General features: G+C 42.4%; 1 protein-coding gene across 5 annotated transcripts in view, besides 1 other annotated feature; it reads right to left on the bottom strand.

The window, feature by feature from the left end:
* VSNL1 (visinin like 1) overlaps positions 1-18,070 on the bottom strand; it is a 117,047-nt gene that overhangs the window by 49,704 nt on the left and 49,273 nt on the right. For 4 of the 5 annotated variants that reach the window (NM_001366803.2, NM_001366804.2, NM_003385.5 and 1 more), the window contains exon 2: positions 15,079-15,245. In NM_001366803.2, the coding sequence (NP_001353732.1) occupies positions 15,079-15,240 (162 nt within the window). In that variant the 5' untranslated portion in view covers positions 15,241-15,245. The remainder of the gene's footprint in view (positions 1-15,078; positions 15,246-18,070) is intronic. The other variant, NM_001366806.2, reaches the window with a different exon arrangement.
* Positions 16,521-17,458: an enhancer, noted in NCBI's record as "OCT4-NANOG hESC enhancer chr2:17771124-17772061 (GRCh37/hg19 assembly coordinates)". NCBI's record gives its function as "activates a minimal SCP1, AML or CMV promoter by ChIP-STARR-seq in primed H9 embryonic stem cells {active_cell/tissue: H9 hESC(primed)}" and the evidence as "EXISTENCE:reporter gene assay evidence [ECO:0000049][PMID:30033119]".

Genomic DNA, 18,070 nt, shown 5'->3' with positions numbered 1-18,070 from the left:
TTGAAGGTGGTAGAGCAGGGATTACTAGCCCTCTTTAATAAATTGAGACTCTATAACCCAGACAGGTTTGTAACTGGCCCAGATCAACTCGCTAGCAACAGTCCTCACCAAGTTCAGGGCCTCCTGGCTCAGCCCCATTCTCCTTCATATTAAGTAGGATGCTTTCTCTTGCAAGGAACATAAGACCCCACTAAGACAGGCCTTGACACAAAGGGTTAATTATCCCACACAGCATGTGGCCCAGGTCCTGTTTCAGGACTAATTCTGCAGCTCAGGGATGTTCCCAGTCCCTTTCTACTCTGCCATGTTCAGCTTGGAGGCCTTATCTCCCCTCACCATTGAAAGTTAGCTGTGGCAACTCCAGGCATCACACAGACACGATAAAATCCAGCAGGCTTGTCTGGATGAAAGAAAAACCTTTTCCAGAATCCTTCCCACCCCAGAAGACCTTTTCTCAGATCCCTTTTGACCAGGATTGGGTAACTTACATATGTCTTTCATGCAAAGTAGACCAGTAAAGCATGTAACTGGATTTTTAGCCTCTATTTTGAGAGGTAGGCCACTACTAGAGAGGAAGGGATAGGGACCATCTGGTAGGTAACCAACAGTGTCTGGTGTCTCATTTAATCAAGCCCCCTCTCTCTGGCTCCTCAGTGCCAGGCATGAGGACCTATGATCCCAGTTTATGGTCATGAAGTCTGCTAGAGAGGGAAGTTGTAATTCCTCATGGTGGGCTTCTCCAACCTCACAGTCATAGCCCACCTTGGTTTTCTTCTGACTCAACTCCAGTGCTGTCAACAAGGAACCTAAGCTAGAAGTGTAGGCACTGTCAGACCCTCAGCCTCCTGGCCCTCACCACTGCTCTGGGAAGCAGGTGAAGCAGGTCATCATCCCATTTGTTTGATGAGAAAACTCGGACTTGGAGGATGAAGGACTTGCCTACAGCCAAACAGCTGGACAGTGCAGAGCCAGGACTTGGACTCATTTCTGTCTGACTCCAGCCCCCGACTCTTCACTTCTCTGCATTTCATCCTAGGAGCCACTTGGAACCATATCAGACGTTTATGTCAATGTTTTAAATCTGAAGACTATAGGAAAGGAAAGCACACAAACCACTCTTATTAGTGGGGATGAGGATCACCTGAGATCTCCATCAAGGCTCTCTCTACCAGGTAAAGAGCATTGGCAATGGAGTCCAACTGCTGGGTTTCAATGCTGTGTGACCTTGGGATAGTTACTTAACTACTTTGTGCCTTAGTTTCCTCATTTGTAAAATGGGGCAAATAATAATAGCACCAACCTCAAATACCCTTATGAGGATGAAATGAGTTAATATATGCAGAGTGCTTGGAACAATGCCTGACGCACACTGAGCATTCAACGAATGTTGGCTAGTATTCTCTGTCTATTATTCATCTATGCATCTAGTCATCCTTTGATTTACTTTAGAAAGGACGTAAAGTATCTGGTTTTCTATGGTGTTTTATGTGGTAAAGCCAACCAGACTCCCTGCCTGCATTCCCAGGGTATGGCAGCCTGCCTGGAGCCAACAGTAAATTTGATGGCTGCACGGGGATAACAGACACCTTTCCTGCCACCTACACTCCAATATTTCCAAGTTTCAGGATGCTTGGTGTCAAATGTGATCCTGTCCCTCTGGGTCAGCCCTGAGAGGGGGCTCTGCACATGCCCCTAACACTCTGCCTGGGTTGTTTTGTTGAGGGAAAATTGTATTCTCCGAGAGCCTTTCTCTTGCATCAGTGTAATACCTTCAAGGCTGTTACCAGCTGCTGCGGAGGGGCTCAAGGAGCAGAAGGTTTCCTCCTCTGCTGGCTTACCCGCCGAGTCGCTGGGAGGATTCCCTGGTGCCTGCACCAGGGACAGCCTTTTCACTTCCTCCTTAAACTTTTTTTCACATAGAAGCAGTGGTGACTGGGTCAGCCTTGTAGGGGTTCTGGGGAAGGCTGGGAAGGCTGGTTCACATGGATTGGAGGCCAAGACAGTTTCCATACCACCAAGGGGGCATAGTCCCCTGGAGCAGATCCTAACTTGATGCTGTGCAGAGAAGGATCTTTGCTGCATAATCAGACAGCAGTGCCAGCTTCCTCAACCCCATACTCTATCCCCAGTCATAATTAGAGTGACCTTTACCATTTATTGAGCAGTTGAATAGCAGACACTTGTAAAGTAGATATGAAGAGCCATTGGGCAGCTGCAGAATCTAAAATGAGGGAAGTGAAGGCCATTGCCCTAAAACTCACAGCTCCCAAGGGGCAGAACCTGGATTCAAACCCTGTAAGAACCCTGTGTCTTACTCCAGGGCTACTCTCTCCACAGAGCAGCTGCCTTTTCAGCTATTACTTAACACGTATTCCAAGCTGTTGTCTCTGCCTCGGATAGAGAGAACCAAGCCCAAAATGATAGTATGTATAGCTTCACCACACATCTTTGTGCCATTTAGTAATAAAAAATATACAGGAGAAAAAAAGAAACCACCCAAATGAACAAACATAGGACAACAACCATCTTGCACTGGTCCCTAAAAACACTGTGAGCCACACTGATAAAACAACCCATTTGTCTTTGCTTTCAGACCAAAATGTTTTGAGTATGCTTCTTTATTTCAGACTGAAGGTATTTCACCTACAATATTGGGGATCTGACCCCAGGGGCCACCTGTAGCAGCCAGGCCCAGCTGGTTCTCACGGGAACACCGTGTTACTGTTTTTACCCGGAAAGTTGGTCAATCCACTTTTTACTCAGCAAGTCATCACCAGCTTCTCTCTGCGGAAAGTGGCAGAAACAAAGGCCAAGGAAGGGCCTCCTCCCTAAGCAAGTGGAGGGCTCAGGGCAGGCAGCTCTGGCTGGGATCTGTACTGCCAGCTCTGGCTGGGATGACACCACAAGACTAGGCTGGTGGGCTGGGGTCGGCCTCTGCCGATAAAGGCTGACTAAGCAGACAGACCACATGAGGGAAATCCCAACATGCCCCTGAGCAGGGAGGGGCCTGGCATTCCAGGATCAAGGCCCTGCCCACCGCCTGCTCCTCTGCTCCCCTGCTCATCACCTGCTCAGTGCAAGGAGTGTTTTTACCCTCCCTGTTTGTCTAAGTCCTTTCTGGATGTCAGCTTCAGCTCCTGCACCACACCCTCTGCCCTGCTGGACGCCCTCAACCTGCTCTCTCCCTTCCTGTTCTTTGAGCTCCCAAGGCCGCAGCTCACCTACACCCACACTTAGCTCTTGGGCTGTTGCTGCAGTTGCCAGTTTTGAAGGCTTTATCTTCCCAGATGGCCTGGGATATCCATGGATGTCCTACCTGCTGACCCCCCTGGTGTTGAGTCTAGTACTGTACACACAAGGTACAGACAATAAATTCTTCATGAGTAACTTGAGTCATCTTGGGCTCTAAGTCATTCTCCTGAAGGCACAATGCAAGCTCCTGTATCTTCATCCCTTGAGTCACTGGGACATTTATGAGGAAAAATGAAAATTAACTTTTCCTTCTTGGTATTGTCCATCATGTTGTTTTAAGAATACAACCCCAGGCCACCAGAATTTCCATTGTCCTCTAACACGTTTGGCAGTTTGTGGATTAGTTGTCTATGCAGAAAACCATCTGATCGCCTTGTATACCACATTCAGGACCTTAGGACTTTTGTGACATTTGATGCCCTCTGTGACCTGGCTCTACCCATATCTTCATCTCACTTTCCCCCTGATACTTCTTTGGTTACCTGACATTTCAGCCAACAGAACTCCTTGCTATTTCCCACATCATCCCCCTGTCTTCCTGCCTGATAGAGTCTGAATGTTTGTGTCCCCTGCAACATTCACATGTTGAAACCTAATCCCCAAGGTGATGTTCTTAGGAGATAGGTTCTTTGGGAGGGGACTAGGTGCAACCCTCATGAATGGGATTAGTGCCCTTATAAAAGAGGCCTCGGAGAGCTCACTGGCCTCTTTCACCATGTGAGGACACAGCAAGAAAGAGTCATTTATGAACCAGAGAGGGGGCCCTCAGCAGACACTGAATCTGCCCTGGTCTTGGACTTGCCAGCATCAAGAACTGTGAGAAGTGTATTTCTGTTGTTTATCACTACTTGGTTTATGGTGTTTTGTTACAGCAGCTCAAATGAACTGAGACTCTGCCCTTGTGCCCTTTCTTAGGTTGTCTCTCTGTTAGGAATGACATCCTTGCAGCTACAAATCTACCTAAATTTCAAGGTGTCTTGAAATCTTCAGTGAAGTTATTTATACAGAAACTTCTTAGGCTAGAAAATCTGCACCTATGTTGGGGCAAACGTTACTTTGTATCTCTTCTAGCTATTTACACAGATTGTTAAGAGTTTCTCCTAGGCTGTGAGGCCCTTAGAGTAGGGTAAGAGTCTGACTCAAATTCCACACACTCCATAGCTCTTGGCTACAGACTCCTTTTAGACGCCATTCTATAGTTGTTTGTTGAAGGTGGACGACAACTAATAGCTTCTCTATTACTACAAAGGGATTCCTCCCTTTGACATTTTATTTTATTTTATTTTATTTTTTTATTTTATTTTATTTTATATTTATGTTTTTGAGATGGAGTCTTACTCTGTCTTCCAGCTTGGGGTGCAATGGCGTGATCTTGGCTCAATGCAACTGCCGCCTCCTAGGTTTAAGCAATTCTCCTGCCTCAGCCTCCCCAGTAGCTGGGATTACAGGCATGCACCATACCTGGCTAATTTTTATATCTTTAGTAGAGACAGAGTTTCGCCGTGTTGGCCAGGCTGGTCTCAAACTCCTGGCCTCAGGTGATCCACCCGCCTCGGCATCCCAAAGTGCTGGGATTACAGGCGTGAGCCACCACACCCGGCTGCTTTGACATTTTAGACAGGGAAAGTTGGTCGTAAAATAGCCCAAAATCTGTCTATCACTCCCCCAGTTATAATAGGACTGGATTTCACCTGTGAGGGGAGAAGCTGACCTGGAGTTCAGGGCAGGGTCAGATTCACAGAAATATCACAGTAGTCATGAGAATGGAGCCACAAGCTTCATAACAACCCTCAGAGAGAAACAGTCAATGGCCCAGGAATCCTTCCAATTGGACACCAAAGATGGAAGAATCAGTAAGACAGAAAGCCTTCTTCCCGCAGGTGCTCCATGGGCCACTGGAGGGCAGGGGTAACTGACTCCCACCTAGGTGAGTTGGTCATTCACAGACCCAAGGTGGGTCAGTGATAGCCAGATCCCAAATCCAGATCACCATTTCAAAATGTTAGAAGAGTCCACTAACGTAAAACAGCTTTTCACTGAGAAATCCAGACATGATTTTGCATGTTCAAGTCCAATTCTGTAATAGAAATGTGCTAATTCTTCCTCTTTTTTTTCTTTTACTTTTTTTAGGTGGAGTCTCGCTCTGTCATTCAGGCTGGAGTGCGGTGGCACAATCTCGGCTCACTGCAACCTCTGCCTCCCGGGTTCAAGCAATTCTTGTGCCCTCAGCCTCCCGAGTAGCTGGGACTACAGGTGCATGCCACCACACCCAGCTAATTTTTGTATTTCTAGTAGAGACGGGGTTTCTCCATGTTGGCCAGGCTGGTCTCGAACTCCAGACCTCATGTGATTCGCCCATCTCGGCCTCCCAAAGTGCTGGGATTACAGGCATGAGCCACCATGCCTGGCCTATTTATTTATTTTTTTGAGATGGAGTCTCACTCTGTCGTACAGGCTGGAGTGCAATGGCGTGATCTTGGCTCACTGCAACTGCTGCCTCCTAGGTTTAAGCAATTCTTCTGCCTCAGCCTCCCCAGTAGTTGGGATTACAGACATGCACCATGATACCTGGCTGATTTTTGTGTTTTTAATAGAGACAGAGTTTCACCATGTTGGCCAGGCTGGTCTCAAACTCCTGACTTCAGGTGATCCACCCACCTAGGCCTCCCAAAGTGCTGGGATTACAGGTGTGAGCCACCATGCCTGGCTGCTTTGACATTTCTTCTATTGCAATTAGAAATGGAGTGTCCTTGAGCAATCTGCTGCAGAGAATTACTAACGGGACAGCACATCCTTCTAGCTTTAAACCCTCATTCAAGGGCTTCAATGTCCTTATTTGTAAAATGGGGGAGGGAGTGGACTGAGAGACTTCTAAAGGGCTCTTTCCAACCTTATCCTGAGGGCAGAGAGGTTGAGGTGCCATCTAAGAGCAATTCCTTCAGGATGCCACAGTCACAATAACCACTGATATCTCTCTAAATGACACCTGCCCTACCATGGGAAAGCAAAATCCCAAGGTGTGGAAGCCATCCAAAATAACTTCACACCCTTGGAGACAGGGGAAGGTTATCATTTTGACCCCTGTGGGGTAATTGCTGTCTCTAATGCTGGTAGCTAGCTATTCCCTGAGACAATATCACCATAATAAAATACTGTTGGAGCCTCACATGGGACCTTGTTTTCTCAGAACTCTAGATTATTATTGTCTTTTCCTTGAGATTTCAGACCCCAGCTCTTGTCTTCCCCATTAATTCAAGTTGAATGCAGCCTCAATCATATTGGCAAACATTCCAAGTGGAAATACATGCTAAAAATTGCAACATCCTCACTAGCCCTGTCTGGATGACATTATGTATTTCATGTAATGTCTATTCCTTAAGGAATTAAAACCCTTCTATATACAGCTCTGCCCAATGAATTTTTAATAAAGTCTGCTCCTAACCACATCTTAGTAACAAACAGAATCTGAATCCCTAAAAACTGGTCATCCCCAAATCTTTTTTGAAATGTTTTATATTCAAAATTATTTGAATCAGATGTTGAGAAGAGGCAGTAGTCATCTCTGTCACATTTTCTTTTGATAAAATATCTGATGAGAGAAAATTCTTGATGCCACAGCCCAATAAACTGGACTATTTGGCATCTGGATATCCTCCCATGCTGAGGTACCTAACACCAAGTCACTGATAAGCCTCACCTGTGCAAGATGATTCAATGCTTATGAAGCACTTTTGCTCTCACCACCCTCCTATCTCAACAAGAGCCCACGAAATAAGCAAGGCCCAGAGTGTTATTCTCATTTGACAGGTGAGAAAACTGAGGGGCAGAGTGGTCTGTGGATTTATTTAACAAACCTTAAGCATAAAGGACTTTCCCATATTCACACTGCTAGTGTATGGCAGAACCAGGTGCACATCCAGGCTTCTAATTAAAATCACACTGCATTTACCTGTATTCAGGTTGCAGAACAGAATGTCCTTGCTAAAAGTTGGGACAGATGCACACCAAAGTCTTGGGAACACAGAGGGAAGAGACTCTTTTGGCTTTGGGAATTGGAGAGGTCAAGAAATGATTTCCCAGGGAGAAGCTTTTGAACTGATCCTGGAAAGATGGCTAGGATGGAGCAACATGATGTGCATTCTGCTCTACCACAAGATAAACTGGAGAACCTCCCAGATGCCTGCTCCTGAATGTGACTCCCAGGACACAGGAAGCATGAAAAGGTGGCAAGAAGGCTGGGCTGAGTGACTCAGGTGTTTGTCTCCACTCACCACTTTGTAACCTCAGCCAAGTCTCCTGACTTCCCAACCTCTATGGCTTAAAGTGAAGGAAATGCTATCTCTAAGATCGATTTCATAGGCCTTGGTGAAATCAAGTAAGCCACTGGTCAGACTGACAGGGGTTAGAATAATTGGAAAGGAAGGGAATAAAGAAGACAAGAGAGAGAGAACAAGAGAGAAAAGAGGGAGTGAGAAACAAGGGAGAGACCTATGGCAGAAGCCCCAGAAGTATTCAAGCTTTTTCTTCCACAGATTGTTTTCAGGTTGTTGATCTCAGCAAGGCTGCCAAGACGTTTTTGATTATTTTTGATTTTTGAATTTTTGTTTCAACCTAACATACTTGACCCAGTGGGCCTCCAGCCAACACAATAGGAACAGGGGCTCAAAAACACAATAATCATTTTTAAATTCAAATTTTTATTGTCTTAGTCAATGAGATTTTTTAGTTTCTAGACAGACTGATGGGTCCTCATGTTCAAATTCACCTTCTTTTGTGGATTAGCTTGAATGTCACCTTCCTAACCAGCCCTCTCTGACCCTCCAGGCCCTTCCTTGTCTTTCCTGTTCCTGATCACAATCAACCCAGTGTGATAGCTGTTCATATATGTATTTTTTTACCCTATCTTCACTATAGGTTTCTGGATGGCACCAGACCATAGTCACCTAGGCAGGGATTTGTGGTGTTTTCCTCTGCAGACCCAGGGCCTACACAGCCCCTGGCACATAGAAGTGCTCAGGAGGACTGCAAAGCAGGGGCTGCGTTTTATCCCACTGGAGACTCCCTCTGCATTAGCGTGGAGCTATAGACAAAATAAAGCTTGATTGGTGGGCCATAAATGAATCAGTCAAACATCATCTACATAGTAAAAACCAATTTAACAAAACAAAGCCTGGAAGCTTTTATTTGTATTCTTATGCCAGTGAAGTTTGTTTGAAAGTATAACTTAGAAGGGGATTTTGCTGCATTTGTCTTAGTGCCAATTAAGACTCAATAACCACTGTTATGGAACCTAGAATGTTACGTCTGCCAATGGTTAGAAACACTTTTAGTGACTCTTATCCTTTCTTGGGACTACAGAATCCTCAATGAATCTGATTAAAGCTACCCCAAGAGAGTTTATATATAAAATTTTACTTGCGACTTCAGTGTGGGCAGAACTCCTGAAGCCTATTTAAACATACTTCCAGGTTAAGACCTAGATTAGTGTTTTTCAAAATGTCACTTATAGATTTTGTCCTTTAGAACCACCTGGCAGGTCTTACTAAGAATACAGATATTGGGTCTCTAATTCCAGTGAACTAGCAACCTGAGGAAGGGGCCTAGCAATCTGCCAACTGAGCAGTCAACCCAAGTGATTCTGAGATGCGTTACAGTTTGAAAGCCACCTACATAGACCAATGTTTTCATTTGCACAGATGCTGAACTTAGAACCAGAAAAACAAAGGCACTTGTTCAAATCCCACAGCAAACAGTGCAGACCTTGATTATATATTTTATTTCATATTCTATAAGACAGAGGTTATGCACCTAAAATCCTATAATTATTATATGTTTGTGTACAACTTTAGGAAGAATGCCTTTTATTCCACGTAGTAGGTTTTTAAGCCCAGGGGCACAATTTAGAAGTAGAATTCTAAAACCACACAGAGAATTACAGAATGTTTTCATAATATCTATTAACTAGAAAAATATTTCTTATTCTATTAAAAGATTTTTACCATCAAATATTTAGGTGCTGGTCCTATAATAACATTTATTCTTATTTTGTTTTAGTACATATTCCTGGGTAGTTGTATCAACAAAATTTTGGTGAGTAAATTTGTATTTTCAATGCCTTAGGCCTGGAAAATTTCTCATTGAAGGGAATTCCACCAGTATATTTTGTTGTAAAAATAAAGATGGTTTGGTGAAGTGAAAAGCATTACTCAAAAATAAGATGATACACCAATTCCTCCAGGCTCTGAGCTTGCTCAGGGCAATTGAAGGCAATGCCCAATAAACTGTCTGTCCCACAGAAAGCACAGAGAAAATGGGTCTCAAGTGAATGAATGAACCAATGGATAAGCCTGCTCTTAGCTAGAAAAGCTGGAAGCATGTTTTCTAATGAGCAAAATACAGAAACTCCTCAGGAAATGACCACCTAGAGGGACAGGGAATGACTTGGTAGGAACTCTTGTTATATGCAAATATATTTTATTAAAATTCAAACTGTTAAATCAATGATGATCAAATTGGACTCTAGGGCTCTCTCACCTGTCTCAGGTGCACCTGTCAGTGGCCTAAGACTTTTCTAAGAAGAAAATTTGGAGCAATGGCACAAGCTGAGGCTCAGGAGAGGTGGGCCAGAGCCCAATAGAACAACCCTTGGGTACTCAGTGGCCTCTGAGGACCTCTCCCCTCATCTGCAAAATAATAAGCAGTAGAATTGAGGAAGGAAGTCTCCTTTCTGGAGGAGGGGCATGAGGGTCAGGACATTGAGAGATTGGTAGGAAATGGTAAAGAAGGCCTTAAGTGCCATCTTCATCCTATCTGGCAGCGGGAGCTGGGGAAGGGTTTGTGCTTAGGGGACACAGAGTTCGGTGTCTAAGAATCCAGGATGGGAATAGGGATGACACTGCCTCATAGTATGTCCTGCCATGACCACTGCCCCCAAACCCACAAGAATACACGGTAGACATCACTATTTGACTAGGGCACATTTTCCTGTTGAAATTTCATAGAGTCTCTCACCCTCCTCTGTGCACCATTTGGTGCTGCCATCGTACGTGGCCTGTGAAATGAAACTTATTTTCATCCTGGCTGTGTAAGTGTAAATGAGAGGATCGTCAATCAGGACAGCAAACACAACTTTTGATATGTCATAAATAGTTTTCATTTCCCTTCTTTCCTTTAAGACTCCGCTATGTGAGGTGATAAAACGGGTCTTATTATTTCCACCTTATAGACAGGGAAACAAATTCAAACTGGCAGAGATTTGGTAAATGTAACACAGCTAGGAATGACTCTCACATCTGTCAGATTCCAAATCCCATTTTTTTTAAACAACTCTGTGACTGCCTTTTCAACTGAACCTAAACCAACCCAAATGTTTCCTGATGAAAATAATCTTGAAAGTCAAACTCTAAACATAAATTAAAATCCACTTAGGGCTCTTTGCAGGATTCCTCTAGGTTTGTTTCTTGATTTCTTTGGCTTTGATGTCACAGTGGCTAAGCAAAATAGCAATGGCACCAACTCTCCAAGGTAGAGGACCCTGGGATGGAGACACTTCTTCCCTACACACTTGCTTGCTCTTCCCCTGGGTTGATTTTCTCATTAAACCGTGGCCAATTCTGTGAAAATACAGTTAAAATTGCAAACTGCCCATCTTAATTTGTGATGGATTGGCAATCAAAATGATTGTTGAAAATAGGAAATTCCCTTGGGGGGTGATCAGGTACTTGGTTCTTGGTGACAAAATTCAAACGCTTTCTTCCCAACCTATCAGCAGCAGTGCTGTGGTGGGGATGATGAAACATCTGCTATGACTTCTGTGGCCAGACACACAGAAATCCCTACGTGTCCAGGGAGTTCCAGACATCTGGGACAGAAGGCATCTTTCTATCAGATGTAGAGGGCACAGAGAACGCATGTGACAACAGAGAAGGAATAAGAATTATATTCATTTGCTCAGGCTGCCATAACAAAGCACCACAGACTGGGGGGCTTAAATCAAGATATTTATTTTCTCACAGTTCTGGAAGCTGGAAGTCCAAGAGAATGTGTTGACAACCCAAGTAGTGCCCATCAAAGGGAAAGTGGAAAATAAACAGTGGTATATTTGAACAATATAACGTTATACAGCAGTCAAAATACTTGAACTGTAGCAACAATAAGACATTAAAAAAGCAAGTCTCAAAAGATTCTAAAGTAAATACAAATTTTAAAGAATGCACTTTATAGGATTACCAATAAATGTAGCTTCTCTCCCTGGCTGGTAGATGACAGCCATCTTCTCCCTGTGCCTTCCCGTGGCCTTTCCTATGTATGTCTCTGTGTCCAAATTTCCTCTCCTAAAGACACGTCACACTGGATTAGGGCCCACTCTCATGACCTCATTTAACTTTATTACCTCTGTAAAGGATCTGTCTGCAAATACAGTCCCATTCTGAGGTACTGGGTGTTAGGACTTCAACATATGAATTTGGGGGAATATTATTCAGCTGATAACAGGCAGCAAGCTTGAAAAGGGAAAGAGCTATCTGCTAGGGGACAATTTTGTTTTCTAAAAGGTTAATAGAAAAGTCTTCCTCTCATCACTGCATTAATTAACTTCTTGTTTTAATATTCCATTTTGAAATCAACCTCTCTGCTTTCTACTCTTGCCCTACCACCAAACATTTCTGTCATTACACATTACATTGTGGTGAATCACATCTTCCCAACTTGCCTGTGAAATTCGGGAGGGCAGGCAGGACTGTCCCATAGTCACTTTTATATGCCTCCATCACAAGGCTGCCTAAGAAGGAGATGTACAGCCAGCACTTATTACATTCAGGCAAGAAATGCTTACCCACACTTGCTCCGTGGCAGGCCCTGTGCTAGCCGCTGGGTCTTAACATTGATTGAAATGAGGTGACTGTGTCTTCATGACTAAAGAGTGAAGCCTGCATCTAGCTGGGAGGGACCATGTTCAGATCTGTGTTTTACAAATCTCACTCCAGCAGCTGTATGGTGGATGGGCTGGAGGGTGTTAATGAGGAGCTGCCCTGGGAGTTTGGCTGAGAGGCAGAGCTATGTGCTGCAGTGGGAGTCAGCATTCCTGTCTTTGAAGTCTGTTCCACATTCAGTTTGTGTTGCTGGGCAAATTGCCTCATTTCTCTAAACCTCAGTTTTAAATGCTTTTAAAAATATATCTGCTGAAGGAGTTCCTTCACATTTGGAATGCAAGGGCTTTTAAAGTTGGGAGACTGTGGCCCCTGGCCTTGCAGCGGAGCCACTCCCATTATCCTGCTCCTCCTTAAACACTCATCAGAACTTGTTTTTTAGCAACCGAGTTGACTTCCTCCTGGAAAGGGAAACGGGTCTGGTAGCAAGAGGGGATGTGCCAGGTTGACTGCACACACAGGAGGGCAGAGGCTGCAGTCAGCTTTGCTCCCTCAGTTGCATCCCAAGATGCCTCAATCTCTGCACCAAAGATAGAAGGAATCACTGAATGTGCCCATTCACCAGGATAATGACCGTGTCTTGCTGAATATTTGCATTTTTTTCCAGAAACATTAAAAGAAGCTTTTTCTCATCAGCCCATCTTCTGGGCCTATTACATAATCCACATCTTTTTCCAGGCTTCTCCTTTCCAGCTTATCAGATCCGCCTTTCTTTTTTCTGTGTACGTGGCATATTTCTGCTGCGGTTTTTTTCTGTCCTTGGACAACTCTAGAAGGAGAAAAAGACTGCCTGCTTTCTATTTGATATAAGAGTACAGGCAGAGTTGGAATAAGAGTTTGCCAAAAATATAGACCTAAGTTCAGAAAGTCATATATTCCCCTCCTGGAATAAAAAACCCACTCTAGGAGTGAGATGGGGAGGTGGGAGATGATTTTGGTGCATATATATCAGTTGTACCATAAAACGCCAAGGCATGCTTAATGTTTACATGACCCCTCACCTTGAGGCTGGTGCTTTTTCAGTGCTACATACTTCCAGTGTGTAAATAAAATACCTCATTTCCTGCATTTCAACTATTTCTTCAAAGGCAATACCCCTCTCATTTTAAACAAATAGTGAGGAACGTGGCACACGGTGCTCTCTTAATCATAGGGTGACAGCTTGCATGGCCTTTAGTGATATGAAAGTGACTTTGAAAAACCTTGTTTGTCTGTACTTTCTTTGTGGTTGAGAATAGAGAGAGTTCCAAGGCATGGACTAGCCCCTAGGTGATAAAATAGAAGACATGACATTGAAAACTAGGGAGAGTAGTATGGTTATCTAGGAAATACATACTATCCCACTTCTCTGCAAAAGCAATAGACATCAATTGAGTAATAGATGCACTTTCTCAGCACTTCTATAGAAAAGATCTTGGCATGCTAATAATTGATTACCCAGATCTTCTTAGAAATGTCACAGTGATCGTATAAAATGCACACTACTTATTCTGTTGATTAGTGAGCTTTTAATGATGCAATAAACACTTGCAACAGTTATGACTTTGAACACAATATATATCTAACCACATGGCCATACCCCCAATTTCATCCCTTGGTCTTCCCCACTTGAAGTAACTTTTCGTTTGAATCTTGGGTTCATCACTTCCCTGCTTTTCTTTTTATATGATTTTATTGCATTTATTGGTAATCCTATAAAACACATTTTTAAAAATTTCTATTTCCTTTAGAATCTTTTGAGACTTGCTTTTTTAATATCTTAGTGTTGTTACAGTTCAAGTATTTTGACTGCTATATAATGTTATATTGTTCAAATATACCACTGTTTATTTTCCACTTTCCCTTTGATGGGCACTTGGGTTGTTTCCCAGTTTTACCATTGTGAATAGTGCAGCTATGAGTATTCTTACACATGCCCCTTCTTGTACAGTACAAGAATGGAATTGCTGGATCATAGGTTATAGAAAATGTTCAGCTTCAGCACATAATGATAATGCTTAATATTTTATTCAATCATTTCACATACACATATATACATCTGGGTGATTCAATATTGCTCAAATCAACATTTGCTAATTAAATGATATAAAGCAATATTTTTCTATTTGGTATTTTAATCAGAAAAAGTTTTAAAAATGTATTTCTTTCACTTGTGTAACATTACATAAGTATACACGAAGTGGAATGTCTTAGATCAGCCCAATCTAGAACCAATACAACTTGTAGACTCAGACAAGCCAAAACAATACCACTGCAGTAGAAATTGTACCTTTTATGGGACTGTTCTGTGTAATGTTCAGGGAAAGTTTAGCTTCTGAGTAGTGTACAGTGTTGAGTTATTGTCTATGTTGTAGACATTGCTGACCAGAGATACGCTACACTCCCCCACCCCTTTTCTAAATGTTCTGTTGTGGGAATCTGGGTTCTTATCTGGATACAGGAGTATCTTTTCTGGTAAAAAAAAAAAAAAAAAAAAAAAAAAAAAAAAAAAAAAAGAGAGAGAGAGAGAAAAAGCCCTCTTGTGTACTTTTTCTTTAACTGGGAGAAGTACATATACCTTTAACAGGCCAAATAATGCTGTAATTAGCAAACTGTCAATAATTATCAGCAAACACTCTTCTCTGAGCTTTTTATGGTTCTTTCACCAGATGCTGTCATTCCTTGAGCTCTATTCAGTGCTTTGATTTAACAATTACTCTTTTTGTTCAGAAATTGCTTATTTTGGGAACAACATATATACATTTGCATTTTTAAATGTTAATTTTTCTTTCTGGATGGAAAACAGCCAGAGTTGAAACAAACTAGCTACTTAGAGTTATAATTCCATGTGAGGGTACAATTTCATGAAGGCCATAGTTTCTGGCCTAAGGAATAAAAACAAGGTTGAAAAACAACTTACCTTCACATAGAGCTGCTGAAATTCCTCGAGATTTAGCCTCCCACTTGGACAGTCCTTGAGAAATCCTTTGTACCACTGCTTGAGTTCATGCTCATTAAACTCTGTGCTCTTCACCAGGTCCTCCATCACTTCAGGGGCCAGTTTGCTATTCTGCTTCCCCATCCTGCCTGAAGAAAAGCAAATTAATTCAATTAGCGCTGTGGCTGTGATCATTTCAAACTTGGTTAGGAGCCAAGCTAGAGTTCTGAGCAGTCCCATGGTCGGAACTCCCTCCAGTGTGGCTGATGCATATCTTCCCAAGTCTGCCTCCTTCTACTTGGTATTCTAGAAAAATATATGAGTGAAATAGACTCTTCTGACAGTTCCAAGGGCTGTAGCATTCACTCTTTACCTCATTGTGTCATCTTTCATATGGTGTTGACTCCCAAATGGAAGGCAACCATCCCTTTTTATGCTATTCATAGTAAGCATATAGAAGTTGTTTTTCTTTTCCTTCTACAAATTACACTTTATTAACACTTGCCTCCCAGGTGTTTAACTCTACATTTAGTTTAATGGGATACTCAGTGGGATTACTGACAAGAACAATGAGAAGACTTTATAACTAAATGATCAGTAAGTGGCTTGGAATATCCAATCAGCAATATTAAGGAGTCTCAGTTGGTCTGGTTCAAGTTGGAGCTTTTTTCCCCAATAAAAACAGCTATTTCTATTAGTCACACTAATTCTCTATTTCTCCTCTCATAATTAGAAAGTTCGTACAACATTGTCTTCAGAGTTGACAAAATCTTAATGGTTTTCTTCTAGGGATTGGTTGGGGAGTTTTTGTTGATATTATTCCAGACTGCTATTATTTCTGATTTTGAGTTAAAGTAATAGTGCATAAGATAATGTTACCTATATCCATTAAGCACCAGGTTGTGTGGCCAACATCACAGCAGGGAGTAGGGAGACAGAGCAGGCTTGAGATAATTCCTGATTTTTCTTCCTGATTTGGCCAATTACTACATGTGTTACTTAGGGCAACGTTAATTAACTGCATTATCTTCAACTTATTCATTAATAAAGCAGACATAATAATGAAGCTCTTTCAGATTCATTGTGATGGCTGATTAACAAGTAAGTAGGTAAACAAAGGCCAAAAAAAATTCCAAAATTAAAATAACTGCAGGAAAATTAAAGATAATTTTAAAATTTTCCCTTTAAAGTTGCTTTATAATAAATAATAATAAGACTATTGCTAATAATAATAATAAAAGAATTAACACATAAATTAACCCCAGATTGATTTAAAAAGTCAAGTTAAACTTGAAAATTGGAAAATTTCCAGAATCTGGAAAGTGCCAGATGATCTTTCAAATTCAGTTAAAAGATACTGAGTTAGGGTTGAAGAATTAACCAAGTGAACCTAGTCCTTCACTGTGCTTGAGACAAACTCTCTTTCAAGCTGCAGGCATGTCTACACTTGCAATAGCCTGGAAGGGGTAATCTCATCACATACTTTATTGTCATGATTTTTTAACTTCTCCTAAAACAGATTCCACACCCATTGTCAGTAACCTGCCCCAACATTGGCCAATTCTTTCACTGTAATGAAACTAAGCCACTCTTGCTACTTCCAGGGAAATTTCCACTCAGCACAATCTCGGCAGCACAAAATGCAGTCAGATGATACCATTAAGATGGCCATTTACCCTCCAAACTCGTCAGCATGAGAAAAGGGCCCAGTATCAGCAACTCTTCCCTTTGTCATGGGGCTTCTCTACTTATTTTTGCTCTGAATTCAAGTTCCAAATCTCTTATAAGCAACTGTCTATTAATTATAAGTTACTGTGGAATTCCACAGCTGGGTGTGGAAATCAAGTGGGTACTCAGGTGTCAGGTTTAATTAATGTGAGTAAGAAAACTCTAATTCATGGTTATCCTGAAAATCAAAAGATGTATTATTGTGAAACCTTTCAGTACTTTACTTTGGTTTTTTGGTAGAGAATTACAAACCTTCATTCTTAAACTAGAATCTCACCTAAGAAAAATAGCTATTTAATATTGAGTGCTGGCGATGGAGAAGGCACTTAATGGAACACCTCACAAATTTCATCTCCTGCTCAGCAATCACCGAGCAATCAGGATTAGGGGAGCTCCCTGGGGCTCAGAACGCTTATGGTAACTTGTATAAGAGCATACAATTAATGCATGGCGGAGCTAGAATTTGAACCTGGATCTATAGGACTCCAATGTCCAATCATAGACTGGTGGATGAAAGACATTTCAGGAGAAGGAACAGGAAGAGCGAAAGCAGGGAGGCTTCAGAGAACTGAATCAGTGCCTAGAGGGGATGAAAAAGGATCACTTTGCCAGCCTGGCTGCCTTGTTTGGAAAAGACTTAAATTTACCAAACCACAAGCTCAGAAGTGACTTTGTATTAAAAACCACCTCCCCCAAGTGCCTTTAGAAGTTCAACAACGTATCAGCTTCTTTGTTAGGCAAGGAAGCTTGGCTTCTCCATGGGTCACTTGTGATGTCTTAAACTGTTCCAGTTGACTTTGGAGAGGGTGGTCTCTTACACACACAGGAAATATTGTCAGGACTGTGAATCACAGTTTGGAGACTCAAGTGCATAACTTCATGCTTCTTGTATGGGTCTGCACCATCACTCAGGTGTGTTGGGCAATGGTTGAATCACACAGAAAGTCAGGTTCTGGCCTGGCTCAGAATGGCATTGCCACTGCCCTCATAGGCCTCATCAGATCTTGCCTTGATTAAAGATTGGCCTCCCCACTGGGCTACCTGACTCCAACCACTCTCCTTCTGCACAGCTGCCTGAGTGAATTTCCAGAATACAAACCTCATTGATCTACTCTCTAAAAGCCTCTGTACTTCTCCTTAGTCTCCATGATGCAACCTCATCTCCTTAGCGTGGCTCAGGTCCTGCCTACTTATATCCTCGTTTTCTGCCAATCTGTCTTTTCTCATGTGTCAGTGATTATAAACT

Source organism: Homo sapiens, chromosome 2, assembly GCF_000001405.40.
Source record: "Homo sapiens chromosome 2, GRCh38.p14 Primary Assembly".
Classification (NCBI taxonomy): Eukaryota; Metazoa; Chordata; class Mammalia; order Primates; family Hominidae; genus Homo; species Homo sapiens.
This window is presented reverse-complemented; position numbering and strand designations above follow the sequence as displayed.